Source organism: Homo sapiens, chromosome 7 (assembly GCF_000001405.40).
Source record: "Homo sapiens chromosome 7, GRCh38.p14 Primary Assembly".
Taxonomy (NCBI): Eukaryota; Metazoa; Chordata; class Mammalia; order Primates; family Hominidae; genus Homo; species Homo sapiens.
In genome coordinates this window covers 37,187,138-37,209,089 of record NC_000007.14, presented here as the reverse complement: position 1 = coordinate 37,209,089, position 21,952 = coordinate 37,187,138, and the positions used below count along the sequence as shown (strand labels likewise).

General features: G+C 42.8%; 1 protein-coding gene across 14 annotated transcripts in view, besides 2 other annotated features; it reads left to right on the top strand.

The window, feature by feature from the left end:
* Positions 1 to 21,952, top strand: part of ELMO1 (engulfment and cell motility 1) — a 596,421-nt gene that overhangs the window by 240,237 nt on the left and 334,232 nt on the right. The window lies entirely within an intron of this gene.
* Positions 3,873 to 5,072: an enhancer, noted in NCBI's record as "BRD4-independent group 4 enhancer chr7:37243623-37244822 (GRCh37/hg19 assembly coordinates)". NCBI's record gives its function as "activates an origin of replication core promoter dependent on BRD2, P300/CBP, MED14 and CDK7 cofactors, and independent of BRD4, by STARR-seq in HCT116 cells {active_cell/tissue: HCT116}" and the evidence as "EXISTENCE:reporter gene assay evidence [ECO:0000049][PMID:35650434]".
* Positions 10,012 to 10,071: an enhancer, noted in NCBI's record as "active region_25852". NCBI's record gives its function as "activates an Ori minimal core promoter by ATAC-STARR-seq in GM12878 lymphoblastoid cells {active_cell/tissue: GM12878}" and the evidence as "EXISTENCE:reporter gene assay evidence [ECO:0000049][PMID:35858748]".

Genomic DNA, 21,952 nt, shown 5'->3' with positions numbered 1-21,952 from the left:
TTGGTGTATCTCTGTCTTAGTTTTCCCTGTCTGGGGAGTGTTCTGCTTCATGAGTACAGAATAATAGTTTTTTTTTTTTAACTGAAAGTTAATTGGAGGTGGTTTTAAGGCCTTTAGCGCTTATGAGGACTTGAAAAGTCATCCTAGAAAAAGCAAAGACTCTGAACAGAGAATAATCATAAGAGAGTGTTGGTTTTCTTTATTTTTCCATGGTTCTTTTTTAGTTTTTGATTTTAGTTATTCCCCTGCAACTTCTCCCAGGCCAGTCTTGCATCAGAGAGTTGAGAAGTTGGAACGACTATTTAGTAATGATTTTGAGTGCTGGAAATGATCCAGTAACTTTTGACAAGCAGATATTTTCACTTTTGAATACCCAGCCAGCCAGAAATAGACAGGCCTCAGTAAACAGAACCGCATGGTCATTGCACCACCTAGAGACGGTCTTGCAAAAACGCTGAAAGCTGGCTGATGATATCAGGGTCTGGCTGCAAAATCTCTAGATGCTGTAAGCAGTCTCGTGCAGAATTCTCTCTGTACTTCCCAAAGAGGAATCATCTTGCCTGTTAAACTCCTTACTGAACTTTAAGGATTAATTTGAGGTTTGGATCATCTTTTGGATCACTTTGAAGAAAAGTTCAGTTCATAAGATTAAGACTGCTATTTCTCATGTTTCTGCTCCCAAGTAGGCAATGCCCAGCAAGCATTACATGACAAGGCTTTGGAGTTCACTGGGCCTAGATTTAATTTTAGCTTTCCTCCTTTTGAGCCATGGGCCAGTGGTTCAGTCATTTAACCTGTTTGGGCATGGGTTTTCTCAGCTGTGAAACTGGGCAGCATCTTTTCTGTTTTGAGATTATGGGAGGGCCCCACAGGACCGTCTACCAGCGACTAGCACAGCAGCTGGAACCAAGGTGCACTCAGCCAGTGCTACTTCCCTTTCTTCCTTTTGGAGAGAACACATCATAGAAATCATCTGCAGCCTTTTAAGTTTTCCAAGGTAAAAGTGGCCATTGCGCCAACAAGGCAAGAAGAACAGTTTATTAAAAGGTAATAAACCACAACACCTTTGAGGAGGCAGATGGGCATCACATTCCTTCTCAGCACAACATCCCAATGGAGCAAATTTTTCTGATAAAATAATTCTAAAGTCACAATCTAGGTGGCTGAGTGGCTTGTAAGTTTAGTCATAACACAGAAAAGCTGCTTCATCTTCTGAGATCTCGTTTTTTGTTTGTTTGTTTGTTTGTTTTTGGTAGAGTTTTGCTCTTGTCGGGTGCCCACCACCACACCCAGCTAATGTTTGTATTTTTAGTAGAGACGGGTTTCACCATGTTGGCCAGGCTGGTCTCAAACTCCTGACCTCAGGTGATCCACCCACCTCGGCCTCTCAAAGTGCTGGGATTACAAGCATGAGGCACTACACCAGCCATCTTCTAAGATCTCTTGTTATTGATTCTGTGGTTTCAAAATGGACAGGCCTTTGTAGGTCCCCTGGTGGGAAGAGACAGAGTTGTCTGGGATAATGCTATTCTTTTTTTTGAGACAGAGTCTCGCTCTGTCACCCAGGCTGGAGTGCAGTGGTGCAATCTTTGCTCACTGTAACCTCCATCTCCCAGGTTCAAGGATTCTCCTGCCTCAGCATCCTGAATAGCTGGGACTACAGGAGTGCGCCACCACACCCAGCTAATTTTTTGTATTTTTAGTAGAGACAGGGTTTCGCCATGTTGGCCAGGCTGCTCTCGAACTTCTGATCTCAGGTGAACCACCCACTTTGGCCTCCCAAAGTGCTGGGATTACAGGCGTGAGCCACCGTGCCCTGCCGGGATAATGCTATTTTTAGTGGAGCTTCTAAGGAAGGGCATATGGATTCCTGAGAGTAATGGAAGGCAGACTCTCACCTCTAGGATGACTTTATTTTGAGAACAGGGGAAATGCTGTATACAAAGTTGTCCCTCTTGATTGTAGCCGCCAAGACCTGTGCACCATGGCTTTCACACTCTGCAAAGTGTTGTGTTCCTGGCTAGAGCCCTTTCAGAATTTGTCTCTGGTTTATTTCCAATTTGTAGTCTCTCTATTTGTGAATTTTTCCTTGTTCAGTCTACCGGACAAGCATGAAAAAGGAGATGTCTGTAGTTCATCTTTCTGATCCCTTCTGAATCAAAGCAGATATTAAAATCAGACAAGGCTTTTTTTTTTCTAGCTGCTTTGTTTTCCTTTCCTTTATCTTGACTGCAGAGAAAATAAGCTTTTTTTTTTTAAAAAAAGAAATTGTTTCTCAACAATATAATGTGTTTTAACATGAAATATTTTACAAAAAAATTTCATCATATTTCAGGATCATCCTGGAGGGAAAAATGACTAAAATGTGAAGGTGGAAGAGGTTATGGGTAATGGTGAAAACATTTCAGAATTAAGATTCATGTTCAAATTTTTAAGAGGATTTTCTACCTTCTTGGGTGATGGAAGATAATTATCTGTAGTTACACAAGTATAATTACACAAAATTACATATGCAGGGGTTGGTGTCATCTTAATAATATTTTTTCAGCAAATAGAGATGGCAGGGAATGAAATGAACTGCATATTTATATTTTTCCTTCTCTATCTCTGTCCCCATCCTAATACTACGGAAGGAAGCGTCTTTGTCTAAATGCTACTAGGCTTCAACAGTCATTGTGAGAGTAACATTGTGATTAAGCTTGGGCTGTAGATTTGGGTTGCTGACATCGATTTCTGACTCTACCAATCACAGGCTGAGTGACTTGGGCAAGGTACTTGACATTTTCATGTTTCTGTTTTTTATTCTTTAAAATGAGGGATAATAATTTTCTCTATCAATATGTGTGTTGTGTAGATTAAATTAGTAGATACTTGGAAGTTGTTCAGAGCAGTGCTTGCTACATAGTCTGTGAATCTAGATGCTATTATTACGATCTTATGATTGATATTAATATTATTGGAATGGCGTCCAGTGCTCTGTGACACCGTGAGAGATGGTGATAGCAGAACGTGAGAGTTGTAGGTTGTCCCTAGGAGGGTAGTGTGAAAATCCGTGGTGAAAGTAACAGTTAAAGGTGAAAGAACACTGGGTGCTTGGGAAACTGCAGGTCATTTATCATGGCCAATGTTTATGTTGCAGAGAGGGAAGTAGAGTTGCCTTTTGGAGTGAGGGAAAGGTTATAGAAGAATTTTAAATTCAAAGGGCTTTGCAATATACAGTCAGTCCTCATTATTCATGGATTCCGTATTTGCAAATTTGCCTTTTTGCTAAAATTTATTTGTAATGCCCAAATCAATATTCAACATGCTTTTTTAGATCATTCTTGGAAAATGCACAGTGGCAAAAAATCTGAGTTGCCCAACTCAGATGTTCCAGCTGAAGTCGAACAAGACACCAAGCCACCACCCTGCCTTCCTGTTTCAGCTCTCATGCTTCAAACAGGTGTCCCTTTCCCAGTCTGTCTAGGCCACGTTTTTCTCATTTTTGTGCTTCCTGCTTTCTGATGGTAATTTCAGTTTCAAATGGCCCTTAAATGTAGTGCTGAAGTGCTGTTTTTATGTTCCGAAGTGTAAGAAGGCTGTGACATGCCACGCAGAAAAAATACGAAAATATATGGGTTTGTTAAGCTTTGTTGTGGCAGTAGTTACAGCACTGTTGGCTGAGCATTCATTGTTAACAAATCAACAACATATACTAAATAGGGTGTCTTTAAACAGAAACACACATAAAAGAAGGTTATATATTCACTGGTTGGCAAAAGCGTTATGGTCAGAGGCTCGCAGAAACAATTTAATATTGTTCCTAGGAGCAATGGTTCAGTAGTTGTTAACTTATTTGCAGCAACTTTCTAGGACATAACTACTGCAAATAAGAAGAGTCTACTATACTTGGAAGTCCCCAGGGAGCTTTTGGGCAGCAGTAAACTATGGAGAGGAGAATCCCAGAGGGTCCCGTCTGTGATAAGTGGGGAAGAGAAAGTCTGCTCTTAAATGGTAATGAGAGGTGAAGCCGGCTGGGCTTCTGGGTTGGGTGGGGACTTGGAGAATTGTGTGTCTAGCTAAAGGATTGTAAACGCACCAATCAGTACTCTGTGTCTAGCTAAAGGTTTGTAAATGCACCAATCAGCTGTCTGTGTCTAGCTAATCAGGTAGGGGACTTGGAGAACTTTTCTGCCTAGCTATAGGATTGTAAACGCACCAATCAGCACTCTGTGTCTAGCTAAAGGTTTGTAAACACACCAGTCAGCACTCTGTGTCTAGCTAATCGGGTGGGGGACTTGGAGAACTTTTCTTTCTAGCTAAAGGATTGTAAATGCACCAATCAGTGCTCTGTGTCTAGCTAAAGGTTTGTAAATGCACCAGTCAGCATGCTGTCAGAACAGACCAATCAGCACTCTGTAAAATGGACCAATGCGCTCTCTTTAAAATGGACCAATCGGCAGGATATGGGCGGGGCCAAAGAAGGGAAAAAAAAGCAGGCCACCTGCGCCAGCAGCGGCAACCCCTTTGGGTCGCCTTCCATGCTGTGGAAGCTTTGTTCTTTTGCTCTTTGCAATAAATCTTGCTGCTGCTCACTCTTTGGGTCTGTGCCGCCTTTATGAGGTGTAACACTCACCGCGAAGGTCTGCAGCTTCATTCCTGAAGTCACCGAGACCAGGAACCCACCAGGAGGAATGAACAACTCCAGACATGCCGCCTTTATGAACTGTAACACTCACCGCGAAGGTCTGCAGCTTCACTCTTGAAGTCAGCGAGACCACGAACCCACCAGAAGGAAGAAACTCTGGACATGTCCGAACATCAGAAGGAACAAACTCTGGACACACCATCTTTAAGAACTGTAACACTCACTGTGAGGGTCCATGGCTTCATTCTTGAAGTCAGCAAGACCAAGAACCCACCAATTCCAGACACATTTTGGCCACCCAGATGGGACCATCGCCCATCGCCAGGCGGTGAGACTAATGCCTATTGCCAAATGGTGAGTACCGTCGGACCCCTTTTGCTTGCTATTCTGTCCTATTTTTCCTTAGAATTCGGGGGCTAAATACTGGGCACCTGTTGGCCAGTTAAAAGCGACTAGCGTGGCTGCCAGACTAAAGACACACGTGTCAGGCTTTCTGGGAAAGGGCTCTCTAACAATCCCTGACTCTTCGGAGTTGGGAGCGTTGGTTTGCCTGGAACCAGCTTCTGCTTTTCCTGTACTTCTGGGCTGAGCCGAGGGTCGACAGAGAGGAAAGCCATTCAGCTCTGGGATCCCAACAACAAGTTGGTTGACCCTGCAGCCATGAGCAGAACTCTCAAAGGCATGTCGTCCAAGCAGACTCGCCCATCTATCCTATCTATTCTGACCCTTGCCGCCTGGGTCCTAATGCCTGCCAGACAAACTTCCTCTCGCCTCTCTTCTCTGAGGCTAGTCCCACTTCTAAAAAACCACTCCCTGTCTCTGGTGCTTTTCTAGTTTCTCCTATAAGAATTATTTCTAGTATAAACTCCAGGACTCTGTTACCTTCTTTAGGTGCCCGGGCTCACCAATCAGAAAGATGTAATTTTTGCCCAAAGCCCCATTGTAGGGGGACTATCTGGAATTTTAGGATCCCTCCTCAGACAATCAGGCCTAACAAAAGCTATTCCTGAAGCTAGGATATGGTGAGCCTCAGAAATTGTATCCTTCCTATTCATATAAGTGAGGACAAAAGACATCACTCTTCCAACTCTGGAGATCCCTTCCCTCCCTCAGGGTACGACCCTCCACTTCATTTTTCGGGCATAACATCTTTATAGGACATGGGTAAGGTCCCAATACTAACGGGAGAATGCTTAAGACTCTAACAGGTTTTCGAGAATGTGTCAGTAAGGGCCATTAAATACAATTTTGCTCAGTCCTCTTTGTGGTCTAGGAGGACAGGCAAGGGTCCAGGTTTTCGAGAATGTGTCAATAAAGGCCACTAAATCTGACCTTCTTGGTCCTCCTTGTGGTCTGGGAGGAAAACTAGTGTTTCTGCTGCTGCATCAGTGAGTGCAACTATTCTGATCAGCAGGGTCCAGGGACCGTTGTGGGTTCTTGGGGAGGGGTTGTTTCTGCTACTGCATTAGTGAGCACAACTATTCCGATCAGCAGGGTCCAGGGACAGTTGTGGGTTCTTGGGGAGGGGGAGAAACAAACCAAAACCATGGGCGGTTTTGTCTTTCAGATGGAAAACACTGAGACATCAACAGGCTCACCCTTGAAATACATCCTAAGCCATTGGGACCAATTTGACCCACAAACCCTGAAAAAGAGGTGGCTCATTTTTTTCCTGCACTATGGCCTGGCCCCATATTCTCTCTCTGATGGGGAAAAATGGCCACCTGAGGGAAGTATAAATTACAGTAAGAAGGAAAAGCTAAATAATTTCTACAGATCATTCAGTACTGCTCAGTAGTACCATGTTGGAATTCACAGGGGAAGTATTATAACTTACTGTGTTTCAATTCATTTATTTTAAAGCCAGAAACTGCCTTGAAATGGCTGCTATACCAAAATACCGCATCCCCAAAACCTGGTGAATTCTCAGAAAAATCATTCTAGGTGAAGAGAAGCCAGTCTATGGTGGACTTGCCTTATATTTCAGCACCGATCCCAGTGTGATTTTATCATAGGCTTTCATCACTAAGAATGTGGTGCAGTCTCTTGGAGTACAAGGACAGCATTAGTAAGAATCTAGAATACATTTATGGGAATTGGAGAAATTAAATTTTGACATTCACTTAATTTTTGTGGTATTCTCTTTTTGCCACAGAGCATCTCTGGAAAGCACAAGATAATGCAGGTTTTTGTCAATCGAATCACTTTTCCCTATATCCCTTATTAATAACTGGGATAGTATTCTGAAACAAGTACTTTGCTTTCAAATACATTTTAGATTTAACCCATAAACCTAAAAGTAAAATAACAGTATATTTAAAAACACACATTTACTGAAATCTTATACAGTTATAGCTATATAGAATGCAGGAGGTCCCGGGGTGCTCTGCAGGGAAGCTCTGCCAGTCCTAGCCAGTCCACCAGACCCAGTCAGCCCCTTTCACCTGAAGGATCCTTGGGGGACATGGGTAAAGGGATTACCTGGGATGGTTCAGGCTGCATGAACTCACAGAGATGTGCCTGTTCCTCAGGGACCAGATCTTACACTGTCAGCCTCCTTGACACTTTGATCAGACCGGACTCTCTCTTTTCCTATCTGAAATGCTGCAGACCTCAGTTCTAATAACTTCTGAGGCATCCCTGGCCCCAACAAGCCAGGAAATTCCTTAGTGAACCAGAGCAGAAATAGCCACCAGATGGCGCAAACACACAGCCATTGGCTCTCAGCCAGTCCCCTGAACTCTGGCTGACCAGCTGCTGGGACATTCTGTTACGTTGCAACCCTGCTTATAAGCCTGAAACGTTTGAAGTTGTTTAAAGTTTAAAGGCCAAGACAGGGGTTCTTGGGGTCTCCTTAGAGGGCTCTAAAGCTTTCATCAGGACCCGGTAGGAACTAGAAGCATTGTTGGATGTGCAACTGGCCCCCCTATTAAATGGGATTTGCCTGATGTTCATGGCAGATGGGCTTTTTCCCAGGACCTGAGTCTCCCAACTCTCATTCCCAGTTATTTTTCCTTACTCTGTCATGAAAGTATTTTAAGTAGGGCAAGCAATTTTTGCTTTCTGCTTTAACATGGAAATATAGGAAAGAATGCACTGGAAATGGAAAGTCTATGAATGTTGGCTGTAAAAACAATAATAATGTATTTGGGGGTTGAAAGTACTGTCCCATTATTAAAATATGTGACAGTAATAACGTGAGGAGGGCAGGGTAGTAAAGGGAGTTAAAGTGAACCAGCATTGGTGGGGAGTTATGCAAAGCTGTATGGGGAAGTTTGATCTGACTCTTGACATGTGGTTCTCAGGTAAATAGAATCTTTTAGAATCATTTTTCAATTTTTTAAACAGTAGCCATTTCTGGAGCTGTATGTTCAGAGGTACTGTTGAGATTTCTGTTTTAATGGTAGGGAGCATTCGAGCCTCTTGAGCATTCTTTTCTTTTTATCTCTAACTTTTCTTTCCTCACTCCTAAAAATATTAAGGGGAATTTATTTTTATTTGTATTTTTTTTTTTTTTATTGAGACAGAGTCTCACTTTGTCACCCAGGCTGGAGTGCAGTGGTGCGATCTCGGCTCAACTGCCTCCTGGGCTCCAGCTATCCTACCACCTCAGGACCACAGGCGCTCACCACCAGGCCCAGCTATTTTTTTGTATTTGTGGTAGAGACAGCATTTCACCATGTTGCCCAGGCTGGTCTCAAACTCTTGAGCTCAAGCGACCCACCCGCCTTGGCCTCCCAAGGTGCTTGGATTACAGGTGTGAGCCATGGCGCCTGGCCATAAAGGGGAATTTTAAAAGGGAAGAGAAGCGAAAGTGGGTGGCCTATGAAGCTGCTGATGGGTCAAGCAAAAACTGTCAGGGAGTTTGGTTGCACACTTCACTGATTGGCAGGTGGGCATCCTTTTCAGGTGGCCCATTCGTCACAGGTGAAGAGAGGATTGCCAGCACCCTGCCTGTACATGTTCAGGGTTGCCTCTGTGCTGTCTTTCTTGGATGCTTTTGGTCAAATGACAGAGAGAATGGCATGCACTGTCTTCATGTTTAATTTTATATGCAGAGTTGTCTTAAAGTTGTAGCTGCTAGTTGGGCACAGTGGCTCTCTCCTATAATTTCAGCAGTTTGGGAGGCAGAGGAGAGAGGATCACTTGAGGCCAGGAGTTCAAGACTAGCCTGGGCAATAAAGTCACACTCTTGTCTCTACAAAAAAAAAAAAAAAATTAATTAGCTTGGCCTGGTGGCATGCGTCTGTAGTCCCAGCTGCTTGGGAGGCTGAGGCAGGAGGATCTCTTGAGCCCAGAAGGTCAAGGCTGCAGCAAGCTATGATTACATCACTGAATTCCAGCCTGGGCAACAGAGCGAAACCCTATCTGTCTGTGGGGGGATAAAAAACAAGTTGTAGCTGCACATGTAGGAAAGAAAAGGTTAGCTTTGGAAAGCTCTCTTGAAAAACTGAAGAAGATCAGGTTTATTTCCTGTCATTGAACCAAGTGAACCAAGCACATTAAGTCATGGGGCAGGGCCTCTGCACAGTGGGCTCTTCTCAGATAACTCAAGGTCTCGTGGGGCCATTTCCACTTCAGTGTAGCATCATCATACTTCCTAGGGGTGCAGAGAGATCAAGAACTCCCACTTAGAATACTTGCAGATCTTTCTTCTGTGATCCACCTTTGCTGTCAGCTGCATTGAGAAAGGACATCCAAACTGGTGCAGTGGGGCCCCTAAGGACAGTCCTAACACAAGCTCTCTGTCACTGTCTCAGGTGAAGAGTTGGCCCATGTTTTGCTCTTGCTGCAAGGCATGTGCTGTTGCCACCATTTCCATCTGTTTGGTGACTTTCGTATGGGATATGTTACTCCCTTCTTCCTACTCCGGCATGGGGAGGGAGCAAGGAGGAGTACTTATTGCTGGGAGTAATCTAATTTCAGAAGCACCCATGACCTGTGGACTCCTTCTGAAAAGGGGATGCATGAATAATTGTACTTTTAAAACTTTGTTTTGTTTTGAGACAGGGTCTTGTTCTTTTGCCCAGGCTGGAGTGCAGTGGCATCATCATGGCTCACTGCAACCTCCACCTCCCACCTCAGCCTCCCAAAATGCTGGGATTACAGATGTGGGCCACCATGTTCAGCCCGTTTTCATATTTTTAGAGGAACTATTTTAAGGGAAAAATTTTAAAAACAAATGACCTATGATTCATTACCATGATAATACTTGACCTTCGTTCTTCTTACTTTTTACGGTAATTAACTTTAACTCCAGACACAATTTCTCAGGAATGGTTATTGAACACCAGGTGAAGAGACAGGTTTCTTCCAGTCCTGTTTTTCCAAACTCCTTTCCTATTTAGCACGCATTGTGGTGCCTTAGGAGGGACATTTGTGGGCAGTTAGGGTTGAATCTGTTCTCTGGTCCACTAGGGGGCGCGCCTATCAAAGGCATGTGTGTGAGAAACTCTGCAGGCTGATGGCACTTCAATAAAGAGCAGCTCTGATGTGTTCATGAAGTGGAGGACTTAGTGGGGACTCTTCTAAGTGGGTAAGTTTAGCAGGTTCAGAAAAATGCTTTTCCAGCCAGAATCTTCCTCCTTCCCCCTTTTAGCTCAAAATCTCCAATAACTCTGTCCCCTGGCTGTGGCGGAAGGAGAGGCAACATATTAAACAGTGTCAATCCTTCGTCCCTGAGTGTATTGTGCAAACTTCCTTGGCATCCTTTCTTTGCACATGGCGCTTTGGAGCAAAAGGGCACCATCCAGCAGGTGCAAGGGTGACACATAGGGAACCAAGGGCAAAGAAACGTCAGGGTCTCGTAATGTATAAGCAAGTCAATTGTGTTTGAGGCTAATAAAACATAGCTTTTACGAGTGCAGCCTTTGGTGCCAGACTGCCTGGTTTTGCATCCCAGCTTCATTGCTCATTAGCTGTGTGATCTTGAACAATTTACCTAAGTGTTTCTTGCCTCATTAGTGAGTTGGATATAGTCGTATCTCCCACCCAGGCTTGTTATGGACATTAATGAGTTAATTGATGTTAAGTTCTGAGAAGCCTTGGCATGGAGCCAGTTTTAGTAAGTTTTTACAATTGATGATTGTCATTTGGATCTGATGGTGGAAATGAGTCTGCAGAATGCATTTACAGTAACCCAGATGACTGGGGACATTCTTCATTTGACTATAACCAGCTGGGTCTGAGAGTAGAAATACATGGCTTCAAAAACAGTTAATTGTCAGGAGTGGCATATCCCAAAGTCCATGAATTCTAGAGAATTTCGTAAGAGTGCTTAGCAGTGCAGGACTTTTATACCCCTCAAAGAGCCTCTTTAGTGAAGGAAGCGGTGGATTTTTTGCTCTGTATTTTTGCTACTCAGGAATTAGCATGTAGGCACATGGCCGAGGATGTCCTTATGCTGCCTGCTCTTGTGCAGATTTTCAAAAGCAGATAAGACTCAAAACCACAACATATATTAAATCAATATTACTGTCCATGACAGGAAGCATTTTTCAATTGGATGACTCCATCCACGATACCCTTTGGAGAGTGCCTTGGACCTAGGCTGGACAGTGCTAGGACAGAGGACCACCAGAGTCTGGCAGGGCTGAGTGGTGATGGGGTCCTGGTACCTGGGAAAGGTAGTTATAGGCATCCAGCACCTCTTCCTCTGATGATTTTCTGTAGGTGCTTGTACTCGTGATTTTGCCTCTAGTAGGATCATATCAAAGCACCCCTGAGAATCATGCTGGTTATTCTGGGGTGCAGGCAAGAGAGGGAAGGAATGACCAGTTAAGAGTCCTGTGATCCAGTTACCTGCTTCCCATTGACCTGCTTTTGATGGCCATCAATCAGCTCCACGCAAAGCTAGCATGCCTTCTATCTTTATCCTTTCTCCTGAGACAGTGTGCTGTTGTGGTACTTTTTATTTTGTTTTCCATTTTTTCAAGTGGTGACTATTTGTCACAGTGCCCTTCCTACCTCTGAATTCAGTGTGATGTGACCTCGGGAGAGGAGGTGTGAGCACGACGTCCAGACTCGGACATGTCTGTTTCACGTCTGCCGGGAAGTAATTTTTATGCTGGGAGCTGGCTTCATGGCGTGGGATTCTAATTCTGGGGATGGCATTTTGTATGTGTAGGAAGACTGTCAAAACCTTTCCAATGGGAAGGGACAAGAACCAATTTGAGAATCACATGGTTACATAAGAACTGGCCCTGTGCGGGCATCTCTGCATACTTCCTGCACTTGTTCATTCTGAAGACGAGAGAAAGAGGAGCAGGAAGAATCTTCCATGAACTCTGCAAACCTACAAACTTTCCAATGAGAAGTGGTGCACACTCCCGAGATGGTGCTTGGGACAACATGGTTAAAAGGGTAAGGGGTATTTATTAACCCTTTGCTTTCTTGTTATTCCTGTCCCTCCTCTTTAAATGTTTACATTACCAAACTGGCTAGACTGCTGAGAATCTATCATTTTTAGGTTGCCTGCTAGGGTTTCTACTGGTCTTATCCCAGTAAATAGCTGCAGAAAATAGCTGCAGTGGCCACACCCAGCAGCAGTAGTGTCTAGGGGACTCTTTGGGACCTGAGCCAGAAAGTTCCCATATGCAGTATCTCATTCTGTCTCCACAAGACACAAGACACAAGGATTATTATGTCTATTTTAGAGACGAATAAAAAGAGGCTTACAGCTTCAGAAGATTTGAAACCTGCCCACAATAGCTGCAGTGTTTCAGCAGCACAAGGAGACATATGCAGACTTAATTTTTGTTTTCAAGTTGTTTAGTCGCAGGTTCAGACACTCATGGGAGCAAGGCAGTGAAATAGATGAAAGTAGCAGATCTTAGTGAAGCTTTATTTCTAGCCTCCCATGCCAAGGACACCCCCCACTCCCTTGGAGTCCTTGAGAAAGCCACCAAATGCTTGTCTCACTGTGGCCTTTCCACACTCAGGATGGTATTCCCACTAATGAAGACCACACACCAACTATCCACTTGCTGCTTCTTAAGGGAACATGCACAGAGCATCGTCCTTCCTGAATCTCAAGCTAAACCCAGCAGGAGCAAGGCCACGTTTCTATCTGGGGGTAGAAAGCAAAATTGTGCTTCCAGTTTTCCAGGGATGCTATAAATCCTTCGCAAATGCTCACAGCAAGCAAGTGGCAGGGCCAGTGTTTGGCCCCTTTCACCCTGACGCCAGTCCTCCCCCACCTCAGCCTCGAGGCTGTGCTGTCTTGCTATTTAAGGAAAAGGGAACATGCTGTCTACAAGGTCTCAGTCGCTCTTTACATTCAATTCAGGTAAATCCAAGAGGCCTTGTCTCCATTCTCAGCTTATTGAGCCTCTGCCTGCCTTCTTGATGTTGTTCATTTGTTGATGACCTTGCTTCATAACCAGGGCAAAGCAGTGAGGGAAAGCAAGTATTTTCATGACAGGTCCTGAGTGCTCATCTTCCTGCTTCATGATAACCCAGAAATCGGCCTTCACTTTTTGCCTTCTATTGTTCATAGATGGAGCCTGAAGTTAGCAGATTTGAATTTGGTTCTCTCCATCCCCCCAGCCCTTTAATATATTTATCTGTGATGTCATATACTAAAGCTTTTCCTTGTTTCTTGAAGGGTTCTCCCTCATTCCCACTGCAGCCTTCCCTGTGACTTATGAGCATTAGGGCAAAGGGAAAGGGCTGGAAAATGGAGACCAGGAAGAGGGAGGCCTCTGCAGTACAGCTTTTAAAGTTCAGGGGCATCTACTGGAGGTGGTCCGTCTGGGACCAGGTCTGTTAGGAGAAGAGCCACGCCAGCTTTTTCGGAGAGGAAAGCTCTGGGAGGAGGTACAGTTCTTCCTCACTTTGGGAAAGCATCACAGATTCCTGCAACTGCTGCTCAGTGCAGGGAGCCCCGCCTCCAGCCAGCTGGGCATGGCTGGGCATCCAAACAGGCATCCAAGGTGTGAGACAGGGGCCTGTGGATTTCTTCCATCTATCTGAGTGGCTCACTGTAGAATGGCGTCCCATCGGTCACCTGTAGAGCACTTTGATAGTAACGGATCATGCCAGGCAATAGGGTCATGTTGGAGTTTAATCTAGACTAAAAATAAGAGACTAATGTGTTGATTCATTTGTTCGTGCAACCAACATTTATGAGCATTTATGATATTTAAGGCAGTGTGCGGACAGGCCTCTCTCTAGTCACAAAGATGAATCGGAGAAGCCAAGGCCTTCATGGAATTGATTGTTGAGTGAACTCCTTATCACTCTGGACCTCATGTGTGCTGTTCTCTCTCCTGGCACTCTCATCCCCTGTCCTCTACAATTCTCAGTTCAGAACTGAGTGTGTTGTATTCTTAGACTAGACACAGGGAGCCTGCTGGGAGCTCTCCCAGTCCAGGTCCTACCCCCGTTTCAGCACGTAGTTTGTACTTGCTTATTAGCCTGATGTCCCACCAGAGGGATAGGTCCTTGTCTACTTAGCACACCTTTGCATCTCTTGCACCCAGCACAGTTCCTGCCACTGGATAGGCATATGGTAAGTGTGTGTTGAATGAATGAATGAATAGATCAATTAAGGATTCTACCGTTCAAGAAAGGAGACACCTTTACTTATAGGTAGAAGTTGATATATGCTATGAGAATCATACAAATAGACTATAAAGTGTTTCTGAAATTCCAAAAATGGATAAGGAGAATTTATTTGAGGACTCCATGAGATTTTACAGTGGAGAGGACGCTGAAGATGAACCTTAAAGAATAGGGAGCATTTGGACATGAGTGAGCTGGGGAGGAGGAGGAGCGTGGGTGACCAACAAGGAGTGGAAAGTGGAAGAATGTGAAGTTTCCTTCAATTTCTGCTCCTTTGAGGCTGGGCCATAAAATATTATGTGCTGCGGTGTTTGGATGATATTTGATAATTTGTAAGTTAAGAAATAATGCAGTTAAAGCTGAGGATTTCACTTCGGTGGTAGTAAAAAGATGGCAGGAAGTTGGAAGAGGCTGGAGGTGATATTGGCCGAAACTAGAAATAGAAGGGGAATAGAAAGGGAGAAAACAAATGTGAAAGAAAAGGTGTGGAGCACAGGGCTTGGTAACAGATTGGATATGGGGAGTGTTGCACAGCTTGTGTGGCCGGGAAGCTGGGTTGCTCTTTCTGCAGATAGGAGATGCAGCTTTGGGAAGGGGCTGGTTTGTTCCATTTAGGATAAAGGACATTTGAATTACTGTCAGGACTTTTCAGCTGGAGATAGCCAGAAGGCCAATGGAAATACAAATACCTAGCACAAGTTAACATTTGCTTGAGATTTACAGTAACCTGGCAAGTGTTTTGTTAGCCTATTTTAATGAAAGGGGAGCTGGGAAACTATAGAGCAGAGAATAAACTGGCCAGGACATACATCGAGTGTGTGACACATGGGACTCCAGTCTTCATGTGTCAAGTTCTGTGCTTGTTCTGGAGAATTTCTCCAGGAGAGCCAGGGCTTTCCAGAGCATTCTGGATGAGAAGTGCCAGTGAGATGTATTTAGAGGGACAAGTTGCTGAGGCAGCACCGGGTGAGATCATTTGCTGAAGCCTAGAGTGGGTTCTTCTCTAAGTGTGTACTAGAGTCACATGTTTATGTGTATGTACATGTATTACATGTGTGTGCACAAGTGTGTGTGCATGTGTGTGCTCATCTGCCAGCAGGAGAGAAAATGGTGATAAGAGAAAACTGGAAAGAGGATGGCCCGCCACGCAGGGACTCTGATTTGTTTGTAAGAGCTGGGAAACACAATTGATACTCTTCCCGTAGCAGGCCATTGGTGCAGTCCTATTTTCGCCGTTTCCTAGTGACTCACACTGTATAGATAGTGCTGCCTTATTTTTAGTGCTGAGTATGAGTGTGCTGCGGAAGGCTGCCGGTTACCAAGGAGGCTGTGCCTCTAAGCTCCTGCAGGGAGCCCCCCGAGTGGTGACTCCAGCCTCCGTGTCACTCTCTGATAACCCCTGGCAGAGCACCTCCTTAACCCGAGGGGTGACCGCTCTGGGCTGCCTTCCCTCCATCCCTGCTTATATAACGGCTTTTTGTTCTTATTCAGTTTACGTGTTAGAAAAAATTACCTCCATCTTAAAGGAGAGTTCTGGGAAAATGTTAGGCAGATCATAGAGAGCCAGGGGGCCTTGGTTGGATACAATCACTGTGCGGGTTGGGCTGCGTAGCCCCACCTGGTACAGGGGTTTTGAGTCAGCTTGGCCTCTTTGAGCCTCCCCCCTCACCAAGAATCCAGGGGGGAAGTGGTCAAAGTACTCAGGAAGTCCTCAGAATTTTTTACTTTACAAGGTAATACAAACCCAGCGAAGGGGTAATTATCAGGTTGAATTCTTCAGATCCCTCACAAAAATTCCATTTTTGGGTCTGAGCACACATCTGCAATGTTTTGTTTTGTATTTTGATTTCATGAACTTTTTCTTTCCACTCTTTAAATGTGTGTGTGTGTATATATATATATATATATATATATATATATATATATATCTCCTATATATATAAAAAATATATATGTATCTATATATAAATTATATATAATATATAAAATATATGTATCTATAGATAAATATATATCATATATAAACATGTATGTATCTATATATAAATATATATGTCATATATACATATATACACACACACACATTTTTTTTTTTTTTTTTGAGACAGAGTCTCGTTTTGTCACCCAGGCTGGAGTGCGGTGGTGCAATCCTGGCTCACTGCAACCTCTGCCTCCCAGGCTCAAGCTATCCTCCCACCTTAGCCTTCTGAGTAGCTGGGATTACAGGAATGCACCACCATGCCTGGCTAATTTTTGTAGTTTTTGTGGAGATGGGGCTTCTCCATGTTGCCCAGGCTGGCTCGAACTCCTGACCTTAAGTGAGCTGCCTGCCTTGGCCTCCCAAATTGCTGGATTATAGGTGTGAACCACTGCGCCCGGCCCAGTTTTTTTTTTTTTTTTTGAGATGGAGTCTTGCTCTGTTGCCAGGCTGGATGGAGTTCAGTGGCACGGTCTTGGCTCACTGCAACCTCCTCCTCCCGGGTTCAAGCGATTCTACTGCCTCAGCCTCCCGAGTAGCTGGGACTACAGGCATGCACCACCACATCCAGCGAATTTTTGTATTTTTAGCAGAGACGGGATTTCACCATGTTGACCAAGATGGTCTCGATCTCTTGACTTCATGATCCACCTGCCTTGGCCTCCCAAAGTGCTGGGATTACAGCCATGAGCAACCACACCTGGCCCTGGCTCTGGCCCACTTTTTACCAGTATTTATTTCTGCTAATCAATGTGACACATCCCTATGGTGAAAACTTGGGAGAGGAAATTGTGGAAAACACACACACGAGAAATCACTCATAGTCCCACCTTCCACAGGCAAACACTGCTACTGTTAGCATCTTTCTTCTTCTTCTGTGAACTCTGTCCTTTACACAGTGGAGACTGACCTCTATGTTTGATTTCCTAACATTTCCATGTGTCCTCAGTACACCTGGATAAACATCACGTGCAGAAGCCAGATAACATTTTGTGTGTGTGTGTGTGATGGAGTCTTCCTCTTTCGCCCAGGCGGTAGTCACTGGTGCGATCTTGGCTCACTGCAACCTCCTTCTCCCGGGTTCATGGAATTCTCCTGGCTCAGCCTCCTGAGTAGCTGGGATTACAGGTTCGTGCCACCATGCCCAGCTAATTTTTGTATTTTTAGCAGAGACGGGTTTTGACCATGTTGGCCAGGATGGTCTTGATCTCCTGACCTCATGATCCACTTGCCCTGGCCTCCCAAAGTGCTGGGATTACAGGCTTGAGCCACCGTGCCCGGCCGATGCCAGATAACATTTTATTAAGTGGTTGAACCAAAATTTATCTAAACATTCTCCTATATATTTATGATTTTTTTTACAAGAAGGGGTTCCATGAACATATGTGAGTAACTGTTTGTCCACATTGAGGATTATTTCCTTAGAACAGATTGTTAGATTCTTGGGTCGGTCAAAATATAAGAACATTTTTGACACAATTATTTTTGATATTTATTTGTACCTTCTATTTTTAAGTACTTCCTTGTTTCCATGAGGTAGATTTTTGTTTGTTTTTTCTAACTACTTTGATTTAGTTGGGCTTACCACAGAGAATTCAGAAATGTAGGTAATCAGAATCATTTACATAAAAATCAGCCATATTTCTATATATGTAAATAAAACATTGTTATAGTTTTGTAGTTTTGATGTATATCTTTCCAGATATTTTCTTTCTTTTTTTTTTTTTTTTTTGAGACAGAGTCTTGCTCTGTTACCCAGGCTGGAGTGCAGTGGCGCGGTCTCGGCTCACTGCAAGCTCCACCTCCCGAGTTCATGCCATTCTCCTGCCTCAGCCTCCTGAGTAGCTGGGACCACAGGCGCCCACCACCACACCCGGCTAATTTTTTGTATTTTTAGTAGAGATGGGGTTTCACCGTGTTAGCCGGGATGGTCTCTATCTCCTTGACCTCATGATCCACCCGCCTCTGCCTCCCAAAGTGCTGGGATTACAGGCTTGAGCCACCGTGCCTGGCCTTTCCAGATATTTTCTATGCTTGTATAAGTAAGTATGCTTTCATGAAAATGTGATCATATAGGTTTTTGAAATTTTTTTCAAAATGAATTTTTAAAAGAAAATTTCTGGTTGGGTGCAGTGGCTCACGCCTGTAAACCCAGCACTTTGGGAGGCTGATGTGGGCAGATCACCTGAGGTCAGGAGTTTGACACCAGCCTGGCCAACATGGTGAAACTTCATCTCTACTAAAAATACAAAAGTTAGCCGGGCGTGATTGGCAGGGTGCCCGTAATCCCAGCTACTCGAGAGGCTAAGGCAGGAGAATCACTTGAACCCTGGAGGCAGAGGTTGCAGTGAGCCAAGATCACGCTATGGCACTCTAGCCTGGGTGACAGAGTGAGACTTTGTCTCTAAATAAATAAATAAAAAAGATAACATTTCCATGTGAAAACCTAGAATAGGATAGTTTATGATGTCATCTTAGTATATGCTTAGCTTCATCTGATAGACCGTAATGAAAGATTTTCTTTCTTCATGTTTTAGGTACAAAACTTAGATTAAAAAACATATCCCTGTAGAAAGCATGTTGAGACTTCTCTCCACATTAGTCTGGGATTATTAAATAATTATTACTATTAATACCATGGAGATGAACATACATGCAACCTGCAGAACAAATGAAACGTGTTGCTCTGAAGCAAAGTAATTTTTTAATAATTAGTAGCCTATCAGCATAATGTTCATTTTATGTCTTCCTAAACTTTTTATCACTTGCATTGTGGTTTATAAATATTGACCTACTGATAAAGAGCCTTTGCTGCTGTTCTTTCGTTCAGTATAAGAATTTCTGCTAAATATCATTTCTTCTTCCTTTTTTTTTTTTTTTGGTAGGGACAAAACGATAAAATGTCTCTAGAAATCTGATTTGGCATGGTTTGTAGAGAGATTCATAGTCCAGGATTGTTTAACCACACAGAGTCTTCAGGGTTTTCTAGAGGTTTACATTCTGATGCATCCATAAAAACCAACTGATAATGTCATTTTTTAGATAAAAATGTAGTATGATAGTATTTTATTCAGCATTGTGGCTTGGGACTGACATAGGCTTTATAAATTATCGTATGATGTGGTGAATAGGTACTTGATTTGTTCCACAAAAATCTGCTGCCATTTATTTTGTTTTTTTGTTTTTCAAGTTTTGGCAACAACTTATTATGCAAGATTCCCTGAATTCTTCCCTGGAAATGTGTCTCTCATTCTTTTGGGAGATCATTGCTTAAGCTAGGTAACAATCTGATTTCACGGAGAGAGTTAGAACTCATGTCTTTGAATAACCACGGTTACATACCCATGTAGCCGCAAGAGAGTGGGCTTCTCTCCTTCCCAGAGGTCTTGATGTTCATTATCTCTGCCCTTGGGTTGCCATAAACTTCCCTGTGTCTTTCTTCAGTTATATAGCATATGTTATATACACTCATTTTTCATTAGCTTCAGAGTTCAAGCAAATGTCTTCTTTGCATAATTCACTGGGATATCCTTCGGAATGCCTTACAGAAACCAGTGTTTCTCAAAAGGATTCATTTCTTCCCTGCTCATGTTCACATTAGAATCTCCATCTGTTGATGGAGGCTGAAAGTCTGATTCTTCTAAGGATGTATGTTATGCCTGCACTGTCTGTCCATCATATACAGTTTTTTAATTCCTTTTGTCCCATGGCAATGCAGTTTGAATCTTTCATGTACATAAACATTCAAACATCATGATTAAAAGTATGGTGTTCCATACACAATTACCGAATTCTTTTAAACAATTTCTTATTTTTGAATGTATATGTTGTTACCAGTTTAAAAATTATTATATACAGTGCCACAGCAAATACACCTACAGCTTAATCACTAGAAGCACAGTTCCTTGGTTCAGGATTGGGCATATTTTATAACATAAATATAATTCAGCAGGAGGACTAAAACAGTTATTGTCAAAAAGTTAATGAAAATCTCAGAAACACATGAACTGAGCTGCAGCAATGATGAAACTTGTCTTTACTGCATATTCTCATAGAAGCTCCTCATGGAAGGCTCAGTCATGGGGTTGACTGTGGGGGACACATCCAGGCATTTCATACCCTAAACCCCAGCAAGATTTAGTGGTCGTTGGGTTGTGTTTTTAAAGATTTCCATGCATATTACAAAATATTCCAGAACCAGTGACAATTTATACCATTACCATTAGTCTTAGAAAGTGGCTGTTTCTAACGCCTAGGCCGTTTCATAACTCTAAAGATTTTCTTTTATCTTTACTAATTTTATGGTTTTAAAAAAAACTCTTAAGATGCCTTTTCTCTAAATACCCACAGCCACATTTCCTATCTCCCTATTATAGTCTTCTCTTGCTCTTAGTTATTATTATTATTATTATTATTATTTTTTTTTTTTTTTTACCTTTCTCCAGTGGCCTGTGTGTGTGTGTGTTTGCGTGTGTGTGTGTGTGTGTGTGTGTGTGTGTGTGTGTGTGTGTAACAAGAAGCACAGTCTGTATGTTAAGCACTAGCCCCCACTTTGAATAAACACTGTAAGGTACAACTTCATGTAATGAAGGATAGTGGAGTAATCCAGTTCTGCAAAAACATCTCATCAGTAAGTGTCATTTGGAACCTAAGGACTGGGGCTCTGTTTTCTGCAGCTCTTCTTGATTGGTTTTGGTCAAATCATTATTTTTTGAACCTCAGCTAATTTATTTGCAGAGTGGTGATGGTGCTTTTAAACTCCTCTCTTTAAAAAGTTATTAGAGATCAAGAAGATGTAGTGTGTGAAGTTTGTAATTTCTGAACCGCGGTAAAAGTGATTATGATTGCCATTGAAGACAAGATTTTAATGCACCCCCACCCCCCTGCTTTTTTTTAAACTCTGTGAATGAAGATTCTTGTCACAAGGTAATAGAAATGATTAGACAAAGGAAACCTACTGGCATTGACTAACTGGAGTCCTTTAGATGCCCCAGTTTGGGCTGGGATAGAAATTTCTAGAAATGGGATATTCAGGGAGTTCCCTTGAAGAATGGCCTTGTGTCGTTATTTTTTTAAAAACTGTGCTGTCTCAGTCACTGTGAATTCAAGTGCTTAACAGTTTTTAGTCTACACAAAAATTAGCTAAGGCAATTCTTTAATTGAAATAGTCAAATTATCACATTTCAGTGCACCTGCGGCCTTGTATATACAGTAATACAGTTTACTACAGTTTACCTGCATGGTCATTTTTCTTTACTATCAGAATTCATTTGGAGTAGATGACTGATAATAAAAAACTGGTTATAGTAATATCTATAGTAAACAAAGTTATTAAATGCTGTACACTAAAAGCATAATATGTTATTAGAAGAATGGGGTGAATTGGGAAGTTTTATTTAATCACTTTTACAAAATTTGTAAAACTGAGAACATAACTCATATTTTAACAGTTTTATTGATGTATAATTTATAGACCATATAATTCACTCATCTAAAATGTACAGTTTGGGTGCTTTTAGTATGTTTACAGGGTTGTAAAGCCATCACCAAAGTCAATTTTAGAGCATTTTCATTATCCCAACAAGACCCATTAGCTGTCACCCCAATCTGTTCGTCCTCCCCAGCCCCAGGCAACCAATTAGTCTACGTTGTCTATAGATTTGTCTATCCTGGATGTTTCATATAAATGAAATCATACAATACATAGTCTTTTGTTACTGGCTTCTTTCACTTAGCATGGTGTTTTCAAGTTTCATCTATGTAGTCTCATGTATCCGTTCTTT